The following is a 21,543-nucleotide window of genomic DNA, read 5'->3' on the forward strand; positions in this document are numbered from 1 at the left end:
ACACTAACCCCTCCAAGGAGTTTGGCTTGGATGGAAGAAACAATGACCTCACTCCTGTTGCTTAGGAGGAGCTACCTGTCTATTCTGCTGCCCATGTTCATAATCCCTGAAAGAAAGCAGGCTTCTGAATTTTCTCCTAAACTGTGTCTCTGCCCACCTCTTTCCTCATCTCCCCCATGCTAGGCTTCTTTTTACAGAGAAGTGGAGATGATGGGGCTCAAGGGAAAGGCCTATGATTTCAAAGGATCTATGAAAGTATCAGCCTATTAAATGAAAGGTCCTACCTGCCTCTGTGGAATAGTATTCAATGATTCTTTAGACAGGAGTGATGACATTTTGCAGCTCCTTGAGTCATGTTGGATGGGATCCAAATAAATACTTGCCTTACATAGGCCCTTCCCCAGCCTCAGCAAAGAGTTCTTCAGTCTGGAGGAACTAGGGCCACCATATCCAGCTTGATTTCATGTCCCCTTTCTCTTCTGAAAAACTCCAACGTGGAACGGACATATTGACTAGTTAGTTTCAGGGGAAGGCAAGTACATGTAGACAAACAGATGTTCGTGTTCACAGGTAAGCTCAATCCTGCATTCCACTGCACTCACAACTTCTAACTGTGGGAGTGAATCCTACTTTTAGAACTTTCCTTGGAGTCTGTCATGAAGGATTATAGTAGGATCCAGGAGTGGGGCCACTGGACTTTTCCATTGTATATACTGATGACTTTAAGATACTTTATTCTCTACCTCTTGTGTCTCCTGCTAGGAAATACAAAGGGTGAGAGTTACAACCTCTAGGTTACAAGCCTTAGTCTAATTAGTATACCAAAGTGAACTGGGATCTCTGACATTCCACATGTCTCCTTTTAGTCTCTATTCTTAGCAATCACACACTTCCTTGCAAATTCTTCCCTTCTGACACCCCATTTGCTTCTTACTAATGTTTCTTTCTGCCCAGGTGCCAGCACTGTTCCTCCTGCTTCCACAGCTACATTGCTGAGCAACGACTTGGAAGCCGACTCTTCCTACTACCTCAACTCTGCCCAGCCTCACTCTCCTCCAAGGGGCACCATAGAACTGGGAAGAATCCTAGAGCCTGGGTACCTGGGCAGCAGTGGCAAGTGGGATGTGATGAGGCCTCAGAAAGGGAGTGTATCTGGGGACCTATCCTCAGGCTCCTCTGTGTACCAGCTTAACTCCAAACCCACAGGTAAAGCACAAAGCAGAGATGGCAGCCTTTGAAAAGAAGTCTCATTTGGAGTCTACTCTTTTCCTACCCAGGCAGGACTATTTCATTCCTCCTCCATCCCTGGCTCACAGAGTGGATATAAAATGCAAGAGCTGTATCAGGGCTCAATCCTTTCCAAGTACATTTCTTCATTCTCCTGCCCAGGGCCTCAGTGCTCTGTAGGGATATGGGAAAGTCAGGGACCCACCTCTTGTGCTGTCACACTCATGTCCTTCCATCCCTCTGCAGCCTGGCCTCTTTGCAGCCCACTCTCTTAGACCCTTCCAGAATGCCAGGCATAGATGGGACTTTCTTCCATCAGTCAGGACTTGTCACAGGAAAGGGTGTAAGGGTGCAGCTCCCTGACCCTGCAAATATATCCTGTGCACAAAATTCAGTCACAGCAAGTGGAGAGGTATAGCTAAGCTCATAAATGCTGAGATGCCGCGCAGTTCCAACAGTAAGACAATCGTAATTTTCAGGAAAAGACTGAGCCCAAAGCAAAATGGTGCAGTTAATGTCCGGTGTAAGCATCCGTCTGACTTTTCTGGATATTTTTGCTTTGTTTGGCAGGGGGAAGGGGGGTGTCATCCCCTCTCTAATTTGCCTTCAGATCTCTAGATCCTTCCAGGCTATTCTTTCATCTTCCATATTAAAAGTGATTTCAGGGAAGCATTCAGTGTCAGTCATTAACCGCATAGGGTGAGTGTAAGATCACGTACTTTTACTTTAGGCCTTCTTTCTAAGGGTGGGAGGAAGGGCTTTGTCCCTTGCTAAAGAATGCTCACTCACGTGTCAGTAAGAAGAAAGGTAGAGTGAGGTCTCACCTATCATCCTCATAGTCACACCCAGGAGGTGGCCACACCTTTCCAGATGCTAGGCAGGCCTTGTCCAGAGCCCTCAGTTATTTTTCTAAAACGTGGAACTCTCACAAGACCCCTGTGTGGGAGGAGGCCCATGGAGATTTTTTAGCAAGTGACTGTCATGTGTTTGAAAGCACATTGACTGTTTAAACAAAACTACCATTCTTTTGGGTGTCCGTGTGAGAGGACACAGTTGGCAGAAGGCTAGTGATATTTACAGGTCTTGCTGCAGGTCCCCTAGCCGAGCCCCACCCCCATCAGTAACCAGGATTCTCCATCTCCCACCTCTCTTCATGTCCTGGTGGTTTGGCCGCAGGGGCTGACCTGCTGGAAGAGCATCTTGGTGAAATCCGGAACCTGCGCCAGCGCCTGGAGGAATCCATCTGCATCAATGACCGCCTACGGGAGCAACTGGAACACCGGCTGACCTCTACTGCTCGTGGAAGGGGTAGGAGAGGCCCAGACCTTCCTGTTTCTGGCTCTATTTAGGGACTTTTAGGCAGAGCTTCACAGATATTCTTTACTTCACTCGCTCCTTATGAACAGTCCAGCAAGGGAGGTGGGCAAGTACTGTCATCCCTACTTTCTGAATATATCTGAGTTTAGAGAGTAACTCTCTTTAAGGCAGAACTACGTCTGATGCCCAGAGTCACCTGACTTCTCACCCCATACTTAATCTGCTTATATACTGCTGATGTCTGTGCCTTTGTTGTGTGATTGATAAGTGGTGGAACCAGGTCTGTAAGGGTCCTCCCACCTCTACCCTCGCCTCTTTACCAAGGTGGCCTTTCTCCTTACACTCTCCTTCCAAGCTGCTGTCATGTGGAGGCCAGTCTTTCCATATGTTGTTGTCCTGCCTATACCACAGCAGCAGCTGTTTAGGGAGATCGAGCCTCCTGCACCATTGCAGTTACGGCATGTGATGATGCACGCAAAGAATCCACTGAGAAGAGGCACACAGAAAACATGTACCCAGCCCCCCACGCTTCATTCAGGGCCAGGCCTTCAGTCCTTGGGGTTTTCTGCTGGGTTGGGGCAGTATCTTTGAGAGATAACGAATGGGAAACTTTTGAAAGTTTCTGTTACCCAAATGTCTACTTTCTGGGACAGGATCCACTTCTAACTTCTACAGTCAGGGCCTGGAGTCCATACCTCAGCTCTGCAATGAGAACAGAGTCCTCAGGGAAGACAATCGAAGACTTCAGGCTCAACTGAGTCATGTTTCCAGAGGTACGTGGTCAAAACCCACAAACTGTGGTCACTCTTAAGTTTCTTTCTTCCCTGGCCACACTAATCACCAACTGGAGAAGCAAACAGAAGAAGGTAGAGGTAACAGAGCTACTCAGATCCACCAACCCAAACTCACAGCTATTCTCAGTCTAGAGAAGGCTGCTTTCTAAGATGTTCCAACTATGGGCCCCTCAGACTCCTAGTCCCCAGAAGCGAAGAGCTCTAGGAAATCCATCATTTCTGTACAAGCCCACCTGCATATATCCAGAGTCACAAGCTATCAATTTGGATACCAGTCTGGTATCTGCTCTACCTCCCTTCACTCACAACTGACTTGGAACCAATAAAGGAGGGAGTGCGAATGCCTATCTTCCCTCTCAAGTTTCTCCAGACTTTACTGCAGCAGCATGTGTCGCTCCTGGCCCTGCTGTGCCATCCCTCTGCCTCCTCACCACATCTCTCACTCATAGACTCAGGGCTTCCCTCTGGTCAGTACTCCCATGACTCCATGCCGAGTGGCACTAGCAAATGCCCCCCAGCACTTTCCCAGCCCTAGCCAGGGGGCGCTCACAGGTGGGCATCATTTCTCGTGTGGCTGGGAGGCAGCTGACCTTGGTGTTAGTCTACTTGATCAGATCAATGTATTATCGATAACAAAGTATTTTTATTCACAAATATTTATGAACAGCCATGAAAAGACTGAGGGTAGTATCCAAAAGGATTAAGCCCAGAATGAAGGAATGCTTGTGGAAAAGGAAAAAGCCACCAAGAGATATTTCTAAATTAGCCACCCAAATTAATTAATTTAATTAATTGATTTCTGTATTAGCGAGAAGATTTGAGAGGAAAGGTCACTGCTGGGGGACGATAACAAAAGTTAACAGATAAGAAAGAGGGCAGAACTACTGAGCTACCATTGCATGCTTGGAGAGAATAGAACAGACCTCAGCAGGTGAGAAGACAGTAAGAGATTTAAACGAGTACAATTTGCCAGGCTCAGGTGACTCTTTCCCCAGAGGACTTACTGAGCCTGCAGCTGTATTTTTAGAGTCCCTTCAATAATCTTTGACAACTTGTGAAGATCAGAGAAGTGCTGCAAGTTCAAAAACAAAAAATCTCAGTTTTCAAAATAATGAAAATGAGATCCAAAAAGAAATCTTGACGTTGATCTTTGTCAAAATTCAAGAATGGATTATTGAACAGACGATATGTGAGCACTTGGAAAGTGGTGATCATTAGAAAGCAGAATTTCTCTAAGAGCAAGGTAGGACAGATTAAATAAGTGGCATGAAGGGTTTTGCAAAGAGAGAGAGGCACCATGCTCCAGGCTCTGGGGGATGTTGAGCCAGCATGCTCTTCCCACCAACATAGGGCCTTCCTTCCCTGCTCCTTAGCTCTGTCTGTCAGGGTGGATGTGCTTGGGGTCATCTTCCAGCTGAGCTCTGGCCCCATGATAATAAATCAATCCTGTGTTCCTCTCACCAGAGCACTCCCAGGAAACAGAAAGCCTGAGGGAGGCTCTGCTGTCCTCTCGATCCCACCTTCAAGAGCTGGAAAAGGAGCTGGAGCACCAGAAGGTGGAAAGGCAGCAGCTTTTGGAAGACTTGAGGGAGAAGCAGCAAGAGGTCTTGCATTTCAGGGAGGAACGTCTTTCCCTCCAGGAAAACGACTCCAGGTAAGAGGGGACCCATTGACAGAGAAGGTAGCATTCTTCATTCTTACATTCATTCTTACATTACAAGAGGAAGGGATATTGGCAAGACAATTGATGTCCTCTTTTGGAAACCTAAATGTTCCCTCTGCTATTCCTGATTTTTGTGTGTCAGTGGGGTGGGGGGAGGGGCGCTTTGAGCAGAAGAAAGGACTTCTCTGGGAATGCCTTGTCACTCCCAAGTTGAGAGAGTAAAACTCTGTTATAGAAGTCTTCAGTATATCAGAGACATGAAAAAGAAGGGTTCCCATGCTTCCAATTAGATATAGGACATTAGTCTCACCATCACCTAGGAAGCTTCTATACTGGCTGTGATGCTTGGTCCCAGCATAAGCCCTGTAACTGCTTGTCAGAATGCAAAGAGCACTGTAGGAACAGTAAGGAGACTGTGCTGGTGTGTCTGTTCTGCTCTGAACTAATGTAGGTAATGGTGTGTTTTCAAGCAAAGTTACTTGACCTCCCTCAGCCTCCATTTCCATATCTGCGAAATAAAAGTGATAGTCTTCATGACCCCCTGAGTTGACATCTGGGGCTCAGATGTAACCCTAACTGTAACCCTTTATGACCCTCTGAGTTGACATCTGGCTCTCAGCCTGTTGCTCTGGTGTGGCTGAGTAGCTCTGCCATCTCAGTGGGCCTTGCCTCTCCCTGGTCAGACTGCAGCACAAGCTGGTTCTCCTGCAGCAACAGTGTGAAGAGAAACAGCAGCTCTTTGAGTCCCTCCAGTCAGAGCTACAAATCTACGAGGCACTTTATGGCAATTCCAAGAAGGGGCTGAAAGGTATGTGTTCTTCTCCCCTCACCCCATGAGCTTTTTGCCCTTGCATAGGATGCTAGTGAGGTCTTTCCTTTGGGAGTTGTGGAGATCATGGGAAGCTACAGAGTTCTGTTGCAGAAACCCCCACCCGAGCCTGGGGCTCCCAGTAGGAGCTCTCAAACACAAAGCCCAACGGGACAGGTTGGTGGCACGAGCAAGATCCGGCCTGATCATTCCTAATTACTTTAAGAAAATCTAGACATTCCTATCAATGTCTAGATTGTAACATTTTTGAAAGCAAAAGAACTGTCCTAATGATATCATCATTTGAAAAGGCCTTTAATATTGTCGGTGATACATACTGACAACCCATTCAGCCCAATGCAGCAGGCAGTCCGCTCCCACCCTGACCCTTTCCCTAGTGACATCTGGCGCTCAGCTTATTGCCCTCTCATGTAATTTTCATAAATCCTGATTTAGTTTCCTGATTTTCTAAAGAGAAGGTGAACTGGAATTTGAAGAAATACAGGGGCTTACCAGGCTGGGCGAATAGCTTAAGTACAAAGTCATGGTGAGTGTTGAGTCAGTGGGGACCAGCCTGCCCACAGGAGAAAATTAAAAGACACAAAAACAAAAACAAAAAAACCTTATAGAAATACCACTAATAGGACCTAAATTTCAATCCTGGATTTAAATATTAAGGACATTTATTGAAGACTTTGCTGCCTGCTGAAATAATAATCTAATATTTGAGAATTTTGATATATTTCTTCATTCTTTAAATGGAGAAGGGTATTCAAAACATAATGTGAATAAGTCACAGCAGGCTGGAACAGAGGACGACATCAATGTCGTGAAATTTAGCAAAGATAAAAAGCAAAATCCTGAGCTTGATTAAAAATATCAGTGGTAGAAATATAGGATGAGGGTAGAAATATAGGACAGGCAGCCATTCATGGACATGAGGGTTTGGGGTTTGGTAGAAACATGTTCACACAAGTAAGGTGTAGGACAAAGGTTGCTAGAAATGCCAGCTCAAACTGGAACTACAGTAGTGTAAGTGTGATGTTCGCCTGTGGAGACCATGTCTAAAATATTGTTAGATTAAGGGGCACCATCTTTGAAAAGGGCGTTGACACACTAGGGAACATAATGAAGACAGGGCGCACAATGGTGTGGACCAGAAATCTCCAACTAGTCAAAGAAACTAAAGAAATGTAGGCTTTCAAAAGATCTTGAGGACATGAGAACTGGCTTCGGATATTTGAAGAAGTGTCAGGTGAAAAAGAACTCATGTATTTTATGTCCCTCCAGAAGGCTAAACAAAGAGTGAAGGGCAGTGGAAGTTAGATTAGAATTATCATAAATCCTGATTTAGTTTCCTGATTTTCTAAAGAGAAGGTGAACTGGAACCTGAAGAAATAGAGGGGGCTCACCAGGCTGGGAGAATAATTTAAGTACACAGTCATGGTGAGTGTTGGGTCAGTGGGACCAGCCTGACCACAGGAGAAGCTTGAGGTTGGAGTGAGAAGTCAGGATGGTGGAGCAGAGTCACCAAATCTTGAAAGCTCACAGGTCAGGGTAAAAGTTGACATTCTGTATAGTAGATAATGAAACTAAGTCTGTTCTTTTTCAAAGAAGATAAGCATATGATGAAAACAGAACTTTAGGATGCTAAGTCTTAGGGGATGTCCTGGAATTGGGAGACATTAGAATCTGGGAAACGTATTGGATGGGTCTAGTGATATTCTGGCACATTAAGAGATGACAGTCTAATATAAGGTGCTATTGGGAAGATGAAAGGGTATAGATAGATTTTAAAACATCTCTTAAAAAATAAGCAAAATTTAGTGAGAAGTTGGGTTGAGAAAGAGAGAGAGGAACATCATAAAACTTTGGGCAAAATTCAAGAGTAGATTATTTACCAAAGTCCCTAAAATTGGTTCATCCTGAGCTACCTTTCCTTTCATGCTTTTCTCCCTGCCTTTTAGGACTCATTTCAAAGCTACAACCACTAAAGCTCCATAATCTCTTATCTGTAATTTCAAAATCCAGTAAGATTTCCAAATTAAATTTTTCAAATACTCATTTAGTGACAAAATCTAGATGATCTGACATGAGGATATTCATAAGTCTTTATTTATCTACTTAGAATATTCACATAGCTCATTGCGGAAATAGTTATATGTTTGATAAAGGATTGTGGCTCACATGCAACTGGGTACATGTTATATATGATATATGCACCCTGTTGCCTTGCTAAAAACTAAAACAAATTTTACCTTTCGAAATACATTTGGCCTTAAGGTTTTCAGATAAGGGATTGTAGCCTCGTAGAATATTTCTTAGATCTCTTCATCCCCAGTACAAAGAAATAGCCATGTGGTGAATGGAGGTAAATATATATACATATATATATTTATATATATGTGCATGTATATATATGTGTGTACATGTCATATATGTACATGTATATGTGTGCACATATATATGTACATGTATATGTGTGCACATATATATGTACATGTATATGTGTGCACATATATATGTACATGTATATGTGTGCACATATATATGTACATGTATATGTGTGCACATATATATGTACATGTATATGTGTGCACATATATATGTACATGTATATGTGTGTACATATATATGTACATGTATATGTGTGCACATATATATGTACATGTATATGTGTGCACATATATACACCTATATATAGTATGTATATACACACAACATATATAAACACACTATATGTAGGTGTATATATATGTACACACACACACACATATATATAGAGAGAGAGAGAGAAAGAGAGAGAGAGAAATTGAAAAACTCAGTTATAATCCCTCGTCTAAGGTGCCCAACTCACATTCTCACATGCTACCAAAAGACCTCCTCCTTCTCTTTCATTTTTGAGAGTGAGGACTATGAAATCTCTTTCTTCCTCATCCCCTACCCTTCTCTAGCTCAGTGCTGACCTTCTACCTTGGAGTATCCTATACTTTAGCCTACAGGATTAAGGTTACTATGGAGATGAAATATGGACTTATCTTCATCTGCCAATCAAATGCTCTATAGGTGCATGTGTGTAACTTAAGCCGCAGGGAAGTTTCAGACTGGATGTGTGCCAGCTCAGTGCCATCCCCAGGCCACACACAGAAATGGTGACATCTCCATCACAGATGGGTTGCATGAGACTCAGATGATAGTGGGGTCCTTGGCAGAAAAGAATGTCACAGAGGAGGGTTCTGACAAGTGCTTGGAAATACTTGGGTCAATGTTACCAGACTCCTTCTCTCTCAGCTTACAGCCTGGATGCCTGTCACCAAATCCCTTTGAGCAGTGACCTGAGCCACCTGGTGGCAGAGGTACGAGCTCTGAGAGGGCAGCTGGAGCAGAGCATTCAGGGGAACAATTGTCTGCGACTGCAGCTGCAACAGCAGCTGGAGAGCGGTGCTGGCAAAGCCAGCCTCAGCCCCTCCTCCATTAACCAGAACTTCCCAGCCAGCACTGACCCTGGAAACAAGCAGCTGCTCCTCCAAGGTAGGAAGGAAAAGGGACTTAGAAAGCCCTTGGCCAGTGGGGAGATCACCAGGAAGTTCTGCGGCAGAAGGTGTAATCTGCCTGGTCCATGCTCCTTAGGGTCAGGTTGAAATCAGAGATGCTCTAGTCTAGCAACCTGAGTGAAAGCGTGGGATTTAGGTCAGACTGGGCTCCAGATTCTGAGTTTACCACTTAGAGGTCGTTTGATTTGGGCAAGGTGTCTAAAGTCTCAGAGGTTTAAGCTTTAGTTTCCTTATATTTAAGATGAGGATAATGATCATATGTACCTTATATGATTTTGAGCATTAAATGAAATCATTTACAAGTGCTTGGCACACTAAGAATTACTCAATAATTAGCAGCTGTATATGTTCATATCTTTTTCTTGGATTTGCTTGGTGCTTTAGTTTTAGCCAAGTGTTTTCACATATATAATTTCATCTGAAGTAAAGCAGGTTTTGCTATCTCTGTATTTCACATAAGAAAACTTAGGTCCTGAGATATTAACAGACAAGCGGGGATTTAGAGAAGTTATAGACAAAGCCAGGATCAGAACCAGATGTTGTGATTTTCAGTCTGTGTTCCTTCCAGCTCATTGTGCCCTGTCTCAGTATTGCCGACCTTCCCAGATTCTCTAGTCCCCCTTTCCCTCACAGGTGGGGAACTCAGTGTATGGTAAAATGTTCCTGCCCCTAAGGAAACAGGGCTCTGGGGAAGTCCTGGATGGTGGGTGATTTATTTCGGGTGGTCATCATTCGCTTTCTCTACCCCACCCCTTGCCTGCCTTTTCAGATAGGCGTGTTTGACCAGGTCCCCCTTCTCAATATCCTCTATCAATCTCACTTCTCCCAGTTTTCATTGAAATGTCAATGGTGTCCCCCTAGTCTCTTAAATCATTCAATTTCTACTTCCTCTGTCCTTTTCTCCTTTTGATACACCGTTTAGTACACCATCTCCACTCACCTCCATGGCCATACCTTCAATTTTATTCAAATCAGGAACCACTTCTGTTCAGTTTCTCTAAAGCTGAGCTTTCAAACTCTCCTGCCAGCTATTTCTGGGTCATGTTAATCTTTGTTTTTCTGTGGTTCTTGTAGATTCTCATTTATCTGACAGTAACCTTATTTGTCAAATGAAGGTGACAATAACATGATTATGCTGTTTTGGCAATTCAATAAAAAAACACATGTGGTCCACCAAGCAAACCGCCTGACCACCAGGCACTGCTCAGCTTACATTAGTTGGACACCTTGCCCTCCTCTGGGCTGCCCTGATGGTTGTGGTGTTCAGTTATGTCTCCAACTCTTCCTTCTAACCAGGCCTTCTTCTCTCACTGGCTTCCCATACAGCAGCCAAGACTCAGCCCCACTGATGCAGTCCCTGCCCCTCTTTCTCTAGCACCCCGGAGGCCTGAGCTGGAAAGCAGGCACTGGGCCACACTTGCCTGAGCAGGACCTTTTCTACCTTCTTTGTGATATTTTCCAATTCCTCCACCATAGGGTTGCTTTTTAGTCTCCAGCAAGACAATGTTAACCCACCAAGCCTTCTGTCTCCGTTCTTCTCATACAAGTCAATTTTTTTCAGTATTACCTCATCAGAATGATGACTAGAATGTTGAGTCCCCCATGAATCCATTCATTCCTTGATTCTTTGATTCTAGATTTTAATATGTACTATGTATATTTATACATATTACATTTAGTTACAGGGCATCATATTAGATACCACACACAAATTATACTTAAGACTCGGTTTATAAAAATACACCTAATAATTTTTCAAACTAGAAGTTACGTTCTCATGGAACACCCCTCAATTACAGGAATATCTTTTTGTTCTGAAGAATGGAAACATTCTGAACTCAGTGACTCATAGGCTTTTGATTTTGCTTTGGCTTGTGGGGTATGGATAATTCTGTAAGAGGAGAGTCCTGCCACCTTAGGTCTCAGTGGGGACAGCTAGGTGTGCATGTGCTTCATGTGCAGTGTGTTCCAGGGCTCCTGAAAACTGTGGTTGCCTTTACCCCCTAGATTCAGCTGTGTCCCCTCCAGTCCGGGATGTTGGTATGAATTCCCCAGCTCTGGTCTTCCCCAGCTCTGCTTCCTCTACTCCTGGCTCAGAAACGCCCATAATCAACAGAGCAAATGGTAAATATGGCAACTAAAGGGCCCAGGGACTGATGATGGAAAGTGATTAATGCAAACAACCTTTTGTTGTCTCTAAACATATTATCTGTATTTAGAGAGTTTTCTCTGCATGCCCCAAGGCCTTTAGCCCTACTCCCTGCACCTTCTGTGGCTGCCTTTCTTGCCATTGTTCATCCTCCTGTAGTTTTCCTACTGCTGTTTTTGCTTCATTGCACCATAATCTCTCTATTCTTGAAAATGCTGTCTGTATCCAGCTTGACTTCCTTGTCTGTGTCTTCTCTACTCAGAAACTTATTATTTATTATGATTCATCCTATTTCATTTGCCAATAAGGAAAAAATTGTCTCCTGGCAAATTTATCATTAAGAGATAATGTAAGAAAGATTATAAAAATATAGAAGCCAGAAGATCTCTATGGACTTTGCCCCACCCTTGTACATTCCCAGGCTTCCTTTCTTGTTCCCGGCCTCGTCCTTTTCTTGTTCCCTACCTCTTTTTTAGTTGGAGCAAACTGAGGATATCATTATGAATAACAGAAGATTCTGTTGTGTTGTCATTTTCTTTTTCAGGCTTGGGTTTGGATACTTCTCCAGTAATGAAGACCCCTCCCAAGCTAGAGGGTGATGCTACTGATGGCTCCTTTGCCAATAAGCATGGCCGCCATGTCATTGGCCACATTGATGACTACAGTGCCCTAAGACAGCAGATTGCGGAGGGCAAGCTGCTGGTCAAAAAGATAGTGTCTCTTGTGAGATCAGCGTGCAGCTTCCCTGGCCTTGAAGCCCAAGGCACAGAGGTAATCACACCTGAAGCTTTAGGTGCACTCTTTCCCTGTGCCCTTTCTTCCTTTGATGTTAACTCCTTCTCCCACCATTTTTGTTTTTTTCATGCTTTGCATCTCTCAACAGCTGAGACTTCCTCTTCCATGTATAGCAGCCAGGCCCTTTCTTCTCTATCTCCTATTTTCACTGTGAGTTCTGCTCTGTTCCAGATGTAGCTGACTGGATATTTCCCCTCAGCCCCACAGAAACATGTGGCATTGCCTAGCAGCCTTTGGTAGCTTATTATCTACCATAGTCATGCAGGCACATGACCATCTGTGGGCAGAGTCAACTCAATGGGATGGATAGAAACTGAAGGATTTGCAGGTGTATGGCCCCCACATGTGGAAGGGGTGAGAAGCCTGGCAGCCATGTCATTTCCTTGTGCAGACTGCATAGAGGGAGGGAAGGCAGTCAGCAAAGCTTCTGAGAGCACCTTGCCAGTGAGAGAGACCAGGAACCTGTGGCTGTGCTGTCTGAGCTGCTGGAGACCCATGGATGCGTAGGGACAGCCCTGCCTCCACGGAGCCCCCACACTAGAGGGCAAGACACACACCCAAGTAGATAAGCACAGTAAGGGGCTACAGGCACAGTATGAGAAGTCATCCTCTGTGCTGTGAGAGCTCCAATACAAATGTGGTCATTTATCTCAGGCAAGGAAGGTAACAGGCTCATAGAGGACATAGCAAGGGGGGTGAGTTTTGAAAGCCTTGTGGGTTCTGCAGGTGGAGGAAGGCATTCCTGGTAAAGGGAGCAGCACCTTAGTTCTGAGAGCTGCAAATGGTTGTGTGAGGGCTTCACAGGTTCAAGCAGGCCCATGTTCTATGCCTCACTCACAAAGGAAGCTTGAGCCCATGCAGGGGGAAGAAAGTAATCTCTCCGCTCCTGTGGTGTTACCTTTCCCCAGGTGCTAGGCAGCAAAGGTATTCATGAGCTTCGGAGCAGCACCAGTGCCCTGCACCATGCCCTAGAGGAGTCAGCTTCCCTCCTCACCATGTTCTGGAGAGCGGCCCTGCCAAGCACCCACATCCCTGTGCTGCCTGGCAAAGTGGTAAGATGCCAGTGCCCTTTCTTGGTTCAAACCCAGTTCTCCTGCCCTCCAATACTGTTCTGTCTCCTCAATGTCACAGCTTTTCCAGAAAATCAGGAGCCACATAGTGAGTTGGGATAGACAGGAACTTAGAGGAGTGTCCCTGGAGGGACATCTCTGACCCATGGTGGCTGCTTTCATTACAGCTCTGAATATATCCCATTCCCCACCAGCCCCCTGTCCCCTGGTTAAGAAATCAAAGAAGATGAAGGGGTGTGAAGAAGGCGGAGACATCATAACCCTGGCCATCCATAAATGTTCAGTTTATTTACTTCTCTGAAGTTTGACTGAGCTGAAATTCAGTTAAAGCTTCAGCACCCATCTCCCACCCCTCAGGTCCCATGGTTAAATGATCACAGAATGCCCCATGAGACTGAGCCTTTTTAGCCACTGCCTGGAATCCCAACATACAACTTAAGCTGGCATCGCTGGACCAGGCCTGGGGAAAGTCAGCCACCCCTCAGGATCTGCTCAGAGCTCAGGCTAACTCTGATTGGCAGACCCTCATGTAGGCAGGTTTCAGGATCCCCTCCCCAGGGATTCTACTTCCAGGTCAATGGCACCAATACCTTTTGGATCCAACTATGCTAATTCCAGGGAGAGGGTGTTTTGCCATCTTCATGTTGGCACAAATATTTACAAACTTGCAGACTTCCCTGAGTCCAGATCTCTCACCCCAGCATAACACTTCTGAACTCTCAATCTTACCTGTGAAGGGAGAGTGACAGAACTGATATCAGGACTAAAGCAAGGTCCTCTTCAGAGTTGGGAGTTTGATACCAGCCTGAGGCGAGGTTCTCTTAAGCTACAGGTGTGTAGGCCTGTGCTAGTCTGCATGGGGAATTCCAGAGTCTCATTATTCCTGCCTAATGGCCTCATCCTGAACTGTCCTCAGCTGGAGGTATCCGAGGCTGTGAAGGAGGAAATCCAGTTCAAGAGAGTTGAGAAGACTGTAGAATCCTTCTTTGAATTGGAAAGAGCCACAAAGCACAGGGTGCTTTAGGCCTTCTGCCTGGTCAGTAAGAGTCTGTTCCTCTTATCCAGGGAGAATCAACAGAAAGGGAACTTCTGGAACTGAGAACCAAAGTATCCAAACAGGAGCGACTCCTTCAGAGCACAACTGAGCATCTGAAGAACGCCAACCAGCAGAAGGAGAGCATGGAGCAGTTCATCGTCAGCCAGCGTAGGTTCCCTGAGAGGGAATGGGGGAAGAAACAGGCAGTCTTCCCGATGCCCCACTTGTGCTGCAGATGAGCAGTGACCAGGGGGGCTTGGGGATGTTGGGAGTTGAGACTGATTTGATGTCCCCAAACCTCCTGTACCAGGAGCAATTGTGGCTGCAGAGGGAGGGGAGGACAGGGGGTGGATAGAAGGAGACTCCAAGCTGAATAGCCAGAAAGAAATAAATGCTTTAGAATTCTCATGCTAAGCAAGTAGGGTTAATTTCTGCTGGTGGTTTCTACTCTGTGGTGCTCTTTTGTTGTTTCAGTAACCAGAACACATGATGTTTTAAAGAAGGCAAGGACTAACTTAGAGGTAAGGAAACTACTGCACCAGTCAGAGGCACCAAGCCTGTCCCCCACCCATCACCATCCGTTAGCAGATCTTGTAGGTGACCCTTGGCCTGCTTTGGCCTTCCAGGAGAAGACTTGGGGTCCACTTGCAAGATCACAGGTCCTCAGTGAGCATCCTGCTAGTTTCTGTCCCCATCACCCTCCCACCCCGTCAGCTCCTGCCCCTGTATCTTGGTTCACTCTCACATTGTCATCATCTCTCCTTTTTACTCCAATTTTTCTTCTTTGAGGCCAAGTTCAGAGACTGGAGAAATGCAATTCAGCTGACTCTTGAAGTCATTAGACATTCGGGAGTCTGCCTCTGAATGAGCTTCTAGTAGAGGGATCTTGAGGCCAGTTATGTGTTCTACTCTTCATGAAAAAGTAAAAGCAATTTGCAACCTAATAAACTGATTTCACTGCACATTCCCGGGTTAAGAACAGCAATTTGATTTTGCTATATCTTTAAGTAACATGACAAAAGAGATCTGTTGGGTCTCATTGGTCTAAAAGCGAATTTGTTAATAAATAACAACTGAACCTTCAGGGAAAAAATGTTATATATGTACCAGACATTATCTACATTTACTTAAAACACTAAGTGTTAATCATTCCCTAGGAAGTGCTTTGAAGAAAAACTTGAGGTATATGAAATGGTTAAAAATCAGAAACTAAACCTTTTAACATGGACATCAAAGCTTTGCCATAAGCAATTCAGCATATTCCTAGAAATGTTTCTAATCCATAACCTGAGAGAATGTTGATCTCCATAGTGTGAAAATGACTTGGGCCAGTTTAACTTGCTCTTTTTTTTATTTTTTCACTAATTCCCTTTTGTTTTTCTCTGATAATTCTTCTCTTTCCTGAGCCTCTTTAGAGCAGCACTTACAGGATTGCCTCTGTAAAGCCTTATTCCTGTCCCAGAAAAGGTAATCCAAAAAGTCTCTAGTATCCACTAAAAGGTAACCCAAAAATCTCTAGTATCCACTGGCTTTCTCCAGTGTGGAAGCTTTCCCCTCCACCTCCCATAGATCACTGGAAAGGACCCGAGGCCTCGGTTCTAATCCCTGGCTTATCACTAACTGCTGTGTGGCTTTGGCTTGTCCCTTAGTCTCTGTGAGACTGCTGCACCCTCATCTGTCAAAGATGGAACTGGACTTAGTTGAGCTCTGAGGTCCCTGTGGACTTGGCCCCTCCACACCCTCATTATGGCAACTGGACATAAACTTAACAGAGGGCTTCCCAGCAAAATGTCCTCTTCTTCCTACAAACAGGCTGTTTCTATATGTGCATGTTTCATGCTAAGCACTTCTTTCTTGGGTGGACATGGCAAAGGCCTCTTTCTGCTGAGACAAAGTGATTTGGAGAGTCACCTGGCCCCTGAAGGGGGAGTGGTAGGATCCAGCCACCCAGTGTGCAGTGAATTGGAGCAGGGATCTCAGCACACAGGGAGGTGGGGAGGCTCCCCCTAACCTCGGGCACCTGTTGCTCCTCCAGACTGCAGCGCATGCTCTTAGCTCATCCTCTTAACTGGCTCTCACCGTGCTCCTGGCTTTGGTCACCACGTAGCTCTCACTCCAGCTTCAGGTAGCCATCAGTAGGGCCTGGCAATATACACTGATTTGGTTTGTTTTATGTTTGTCTGCAGGTGAAATCCCTAAGGGCTCTGCCATGTACTCCAGCCTTGTGACCCTTGCCTTCCAGGAACCATGCAAGAAGCGCAGCCACCAGAAGTCCTTAAAACAGCAGGAAAGGTGGGCCTGTCCCCCTTTTGTGCAGCTACCTATCTGCTGAGGAGCATCTGGGCCTCATTCCTCCAAGTCCACGGGAGGGTCCAGAAGAGGGAGTCAGAGATGTATCCTGGTGGAGCTGGGAGAAAGGCAGAAAGCCTTTCTGACGGCTATGGAATACGATTAGCCAAGGTCCACTTGGCCCAGCACTAAGAAAAAGATGCGTAGTTTGCACAGAAGGTTTTGTGATCCTGCCTCTCAACAGCCCCAGCAGCTTGGGAACTAGCAAGAGCACATTTCTTGCCTCATCAGCTGTCCTGAGATGGAAAACTCAGTGAATATAGGACCCTGATTCCGATGAAAGGGGCACGTGGTCCCAATGCTGGAGCTCCTCTGGCAGGTTCTAAAAGCACACTACTGAGCAGCGGTGCCCTGCCGGACACTGCTGGCGGGGGCTCAGTGAGCACTACTCACAGATCCACACCTGACCCTGTTGGGTCGAGTCAGGCTGGGCCTTGGTCTGCACTGTAGCACCTGTGTTCTTTGAGTTCACATCATGAATGTGGTGACTTCCCAGATACCATCTCAGGCTTAACCTAGCACATCCTATTTCTTTTCTTCTATGATATCCAAATTGGACTGACCTCACTTCAAAGTTGCTGTCCCATTTTGTCACCCTATCTTATCTCGGGGAAATTGCAGACTGATGGCCAGACCAACTCTGTTGAAATTCTTGCATAGAGCAAACCTGTGCTCATTTTTAAGTGGCATGGGAGAGGCCCCAAGCCTAGTAAAGCCTAGTCTGTGTCTTCACAGTGCTGGTAGAATGTGTTTGTGTGTATAAATATATGATATAGATTTATATATGTTGCTAACGCCATATATTGAAGGCCAACATAACTGGTGGACAGGGTGGGTGACAGAAAATGAAAGTCTTTTTGGTGATTGTTAAAGCAAAATGTGTATAAAGAAATAAATAGTTTTTCTTTCACTGCTTTGTTTCCCATTTCTGCACCAATCCCTTGACAGTATAAAGAACTGGAAAGAGAAAATGGGAAAGACAAACTGTGTTTAAGAAGCATATAGTCTAATGCTTGAACTCTAACTTTAAAAGATTAAGGTTTTCCTTCTTTGTCATTTTGTAAGAATCCCCAGTCTGAAAATATGAAAGAATGGTTCTTAAACTTGGTGTGCCTGAGAAGCAGCTGTGGAGATTATAGGAGCTACCTCCTGGTCTCCAATCCCAGGAGATTTAGTTGGTGTGAGCCCTAGAATCTGCATTTTTTTAATATAAGCACCCCAGGTGATTCCATTACATGTGGGCTTCAGATCACAGTTTAAAAAACAGTGTTCTATAACATTGAATCAAAACTAAAACTACATTTAAGAACCTTGAATCAAAAAGTATGTCATTCCATAAACATTGATATAAAAATTTTAAAATATTCCTTGGGAAAAGTTCTTAGCTACATGCTTTTGATTCCCAAGATTAAAATAAGCTATCACTTCACAATTATGTACTAGAAACATTTAAAAAATAAAAACAGGTAGAAGGTGGAGTAAGATGGTAGAATAGAATTCTCCAGCAATGGTCTCTCTGAAGGAACATCAAATTAAACAACTATCTATGTAAGAAAACACTTTCACAAGGGCTAGCCAGGTGAGAGATCATAGCACCCGCTTTTAACTTGCTAACAAGAAAAGATGCATTGAAGAAGGGAGGAAGGACAGTCTTGCATTGCCTATGACACCTCTCCCCCAACCACAGGAAATTCTCTGAGAGAGAATCTAATGGCTTGGGGACAAGGGGGAAAGTGTGAGACTTTATATTGAAACTTAGTACCAGTCTTGCCATAGTGATACACGGCACTGGGCAGAACCCCACAGCACTTGATTCCAGGCTGGTGCCCACAGAAGAAGCATTTAGACCCACCCTGGGCCACAAGGGAACCAGCTGCCCCAGCAGGAAGAACCCAGCAAAGTTCTGGCCGGCTTTATCACTGGAAATTTCTTGGGCTTCAAATAAATTTCAGTGGCAGGCAGGCTGTAGTGGCCGCAGTCCTTGGGCAAGCCCTGATGCTGCATAGGTCTGGAACACCCTGGACTTGTGGTGTGAGCCAGTATGATGGCAGCAGCTGCAGCAGCTATGGGAATGCCTGTATCACCCCTCCCCACACTCCAGGCAGTGCAGCCTGAAGAGAGGTTCCTCTTGCTTGGGGGAAAGAAAGGGAAGTAAGCTAGGGGCTTTACCTGGGAATGCGGAGAACAATCCCTGATCTTCCCCCAAGTCCACAGGGCTGGGGACCTAGGAATCGGTAAGAATTGCAGTGTACCTGGGCCTAGGGTGCCCTGTAGTACAAAAATGGCTGCAGTGATCACTGGCTTAGGGAACTCGTCAGCCCACTTTGAATTCCTGGAAAGTCCTCTGAAGGACAGGTACAAACAAGACCTGACTGCAAAGGCTGGAATAAATACCTTATCCTTCAATGCCCAGATACTGACAAACATCAACAGTATCAATAACATTGAAGCCAATATGACCTCAACAAATGGACCAAGTAAGGCACTCAGTGACCAACCCTGGAGAGATGGAGACGTGTAACCTCTCAGGGAATTCAGAATAGCTATTTTGAGAAAGCTCAATGAACTTCAAGAAAACACAGAGAAACAATTCAGAAATATATCAGAAATTTAACAAGATTACTGAAGTAAGAGAAAAAAATCAAATGCTGGAGCTGGAAAATACATTAGTGGGTCTCAGTAGAATTGATCAAGCAGAAGAAAGAATTAGTGAGCATGCAAACAAGCTATTTGAAAATACAGTCAGAGGAGAAAAAAGAAAAGAAGAATGAGCAGGAACACAGAATGCTTAAGAGATCTAGAAGAGGGCCTGAAAAGAGAAAATCAAAGATTCATTGGCCTTAAAGAGGGACTTGAGAAGGAGCAAAGAGTAGAACACTTATTCAAAGAAATAATCTTTTTTAAAAAAAAATACTTTAAGTTCTAGGGTATATGTGCACAACGTGCAGGTTTGTTATATAGGTGTACGTGTGCCATGTTGGTTTGCTGCACCCATCAACTCATCATTTACATTAGGTATTTCTCCTAACGCTATCCCTCCCCCAGCCTCCTACCCCACAACAGGCCCCGGTGTGTGATGTTCCCCTCCCTGTGTCCATGTGTTCTCATTGGTCAACTCCCACTTAAGAGTGAGAACATGCGGAGTTTGGTTTTCTGTCCTTGTGATATTTTGCTGATAATCACAATTTCTAGCTTCATGCATGTCCCTGCAAAAGACAAGAACTCATCCTTTTTTATGGCTGCATAGTATTCTTTGGTGTATATGTGCCACATTTTCTTTATCTAGTCTATTATTGATGGACATTTGGGTTAGTTCCAAGTCTTTGCTATTGTGAATAGTGCCTCAATAAACATAGGAGTGCACATGTCTTTATAGTAGCATGATTTATAATCCTTTGGGTATTCACCCAGTAATGAGATTGCTGGGTCAAATGGTATTTCTAGTTCTAGATCCTTGAGGAATTGCCACACTGTCTTCCACAATGGTTGAACTAATTTATACTCCCACCAAGAGTGTAAAAGCGTTCCTATTTCTCCACATCCTCTACAGCATCTGTTGTTTCCTGACTTTTTAATGATCGTCATTCTAACTGGCATGAGTGGTATCTCATTGTGGTTTTGATTTGCATTTCTCTGATGACCAGTGATGATGAGCATTTTTTCATATGTCTGTTGGCTGCATAAATGTCTTCTTTTGAGAAGTGTCTGTTCATATCCTTTGCCCTCTTTTTGATGGGGTTGTTTTTTTTCCTGTAAATTTGTTTGAGTTCTTTGTAGATTCTGGATATTAGCCCTTTGTCAGATGAGTAGATTGCAAAAATTTTCTCCCATTCTGTAGGTTGCCTGTTCACTCTGATGGTAGTTTGTTTTGCTGTGCAGAAGCTTTTTAGTTTAATTAGATCCCATTTGTCAATTTTGGCTTTTGTTGCTATTGCTTTTGGTGTTTTAGACATGAAGTCCTTGCCCATGCCTATGTCCTGAATGGTATTGCCTAGGTTTTCTTCTAGGGTTTTTATGGTTTTACATCTAACATTTAAGTCTTTAATCCACCTTGAATTAATTTTTGTATAAGATGTAAGGAAGGGATCCAGTTTCAGCTTTCTGCATATGGCTAGCCAGTTTTCCCAGCACCATTTATTAAATAGGGAATCCTTTCCCCATTTCTTGTTTTTGTCAGGTTTGTCAAAGATCAGATAGTTGTAGATGTGTGGTGTTATTTCTAAGGGCTCTGTTCTGTTCCATTGGTCTGTATCTCCGTTTTGGTACCAGTACCATGCTGTTTTGTTTACTGTAGCCTTGTAGTATAGTTTAAAGTCAGGTAGTGTGATGCCTCCAGCTTTGTTCTTTTGGCTTAGGATTGACTTGGCAATGCGGGCTCTTTTTTGGTTACATATGAACTTTAAAGTAGTTTTTTCTAATTTTGTGAAGAAAGTCATTGGTAGCTTGATGGGGATGGCATTGAATCTATAAATTACCTTGGGCAGTATGGCCATTTTCACGATATTGTTTATTCCTCTCCATGAGAATGGAATGTTCTTCCATTTGTTTGTGTCCTCTTTTATTTCCTTGAACAGTGGTTTGTAGTCCTCCTTGAAGAGGTCCTTCACATCCCTTGTAAGTTGGATTCCCAGGTATTTTATTCTCTTTGAAGCAATTGTGAATGGGAGTTCACTCATGATTTGGCTCTCTGTTTGTCTGTTGTTGGTGTATAAGAATGCTTGTGATTTTTGCACATTGATTTTGTAACCTGAGACTTTGGTGAAGTTGCTTATCAGCTTAAG

At 44.4% G+C, this 21,543-nt stretch overlaps 1 protein-coding gene across 28 annotated transcripts in view, besides 2 other annotated features; it reads left to right on the forward strand.

The window, feature by feature from the left end:
• The window catches only part of PDE4DIP (phosphodiesterase 4D interacting protein), a 224,583-nt gene extending 206,911 nt beyond the window's left edge, over window positions 1-17,672 (forward strand). For 12 of the 28 annotated variants that reach the window (NM_001377392.2, NM_001395298.1, NM_001395303.1 and 9 more), the window contains 12 exons: window positions 955-1,206; window positions 2,404-2,535; window positions 3,198-3,317; window positions 4,803-4,992; window positions 5,685-5,809; window positions 9,101-9,340; window positions 11,371-11,487; window positions 12,057-12,283; window positions 13,216-13,359; window positions 14,443-14,581; window positions 14,888-14,934; window positions 16,600-17,672. In NM_001377392.2, the coding sequence (NP_001364321.1) occupies window positions 955-1,206; window positions 2,404-2,535; window positions 3,198-3,317; window positions 4,803-4,992; window positions 5,685-5,809; window positions 9,101-9,340; window positions 11,371-11,487; window positions 12,057-12,283; window positions 13,216-13,359; window positions 14,443-14,581; window positions 14,888-14,934; window positions 16,600-16,641 (1,775 nt within the window). In that variant the 3' untranslated portion in view covers window positions 16,642-17,672. Of the gene's footprint in view, window positions 1-954; window positions 1,207-2,403; window positions 2,536-3,197; window positions 3,318-4,802; window positions 4,993-5,684; window positions 5,810-9,100; window positions 9,341-11,370; window positions 11,488-12,056; window positions 12,284-13,215; window positions 13,360-14,442; window positions 14,582-14,887; window positions 14,935-15,828; window positions 15,881-16,599 lie in introns of all 28 variants that reach the window. The other 16 variants (NM_001395304.1, NM_001395306.1, NM_001395311.1 and 13 more) reach the window with 5 other exon arrangements.
• Window positions 469-1,668: an enhancer, noted in NCBI's record as "BRD4-independent group 4 enhancer chr1:144867459-144868658 (GRCh37/hg19 assembly coordinates)". NCBI's record gives its function as "activates an origin of replication core promoter dependent on BRD2, P300/CBP, MED14 and CDK7 cofactors, and independent of BRD4, by STARR-seq in HCT116 cells {active_cell/tissue: HCT116}" and the evidence as "EXISTENCE:reporter gene assay evidence [ECO:0000049][PMID:35650434]".
• Window positions 18,131-18,630: an enhancer, noted in NCBI's record as "H3K27ac hESC enhancer chr1:144850469-144850968 (GRCh37/hg19 assembly coordinates)". NCBI's record gives its function as "activates a minimal SCP1, AML or CMV promoter by ChIP-STARR-seq in naive H9 embryonic stem cells {active_cell/tissue: H9 hESC(naive)}" and the evidence as "EXISTENCE:reporter gene assay evidence [ECO:0000049][PMID:30033119]".

Source organism: Homo sapiens, chromosome 1 (assembly GCF_000001405.40).
Source record: "Homo sapiens chromosome 1, GRCh38.p14 Primary Assembly".
Classification (NCBI taxonomy): domain Eukaryota; kingdom Metazoa; phylum Chordata; class Mammalia; order Primates; family Hominidae; genus Homo; species Homo sapiens.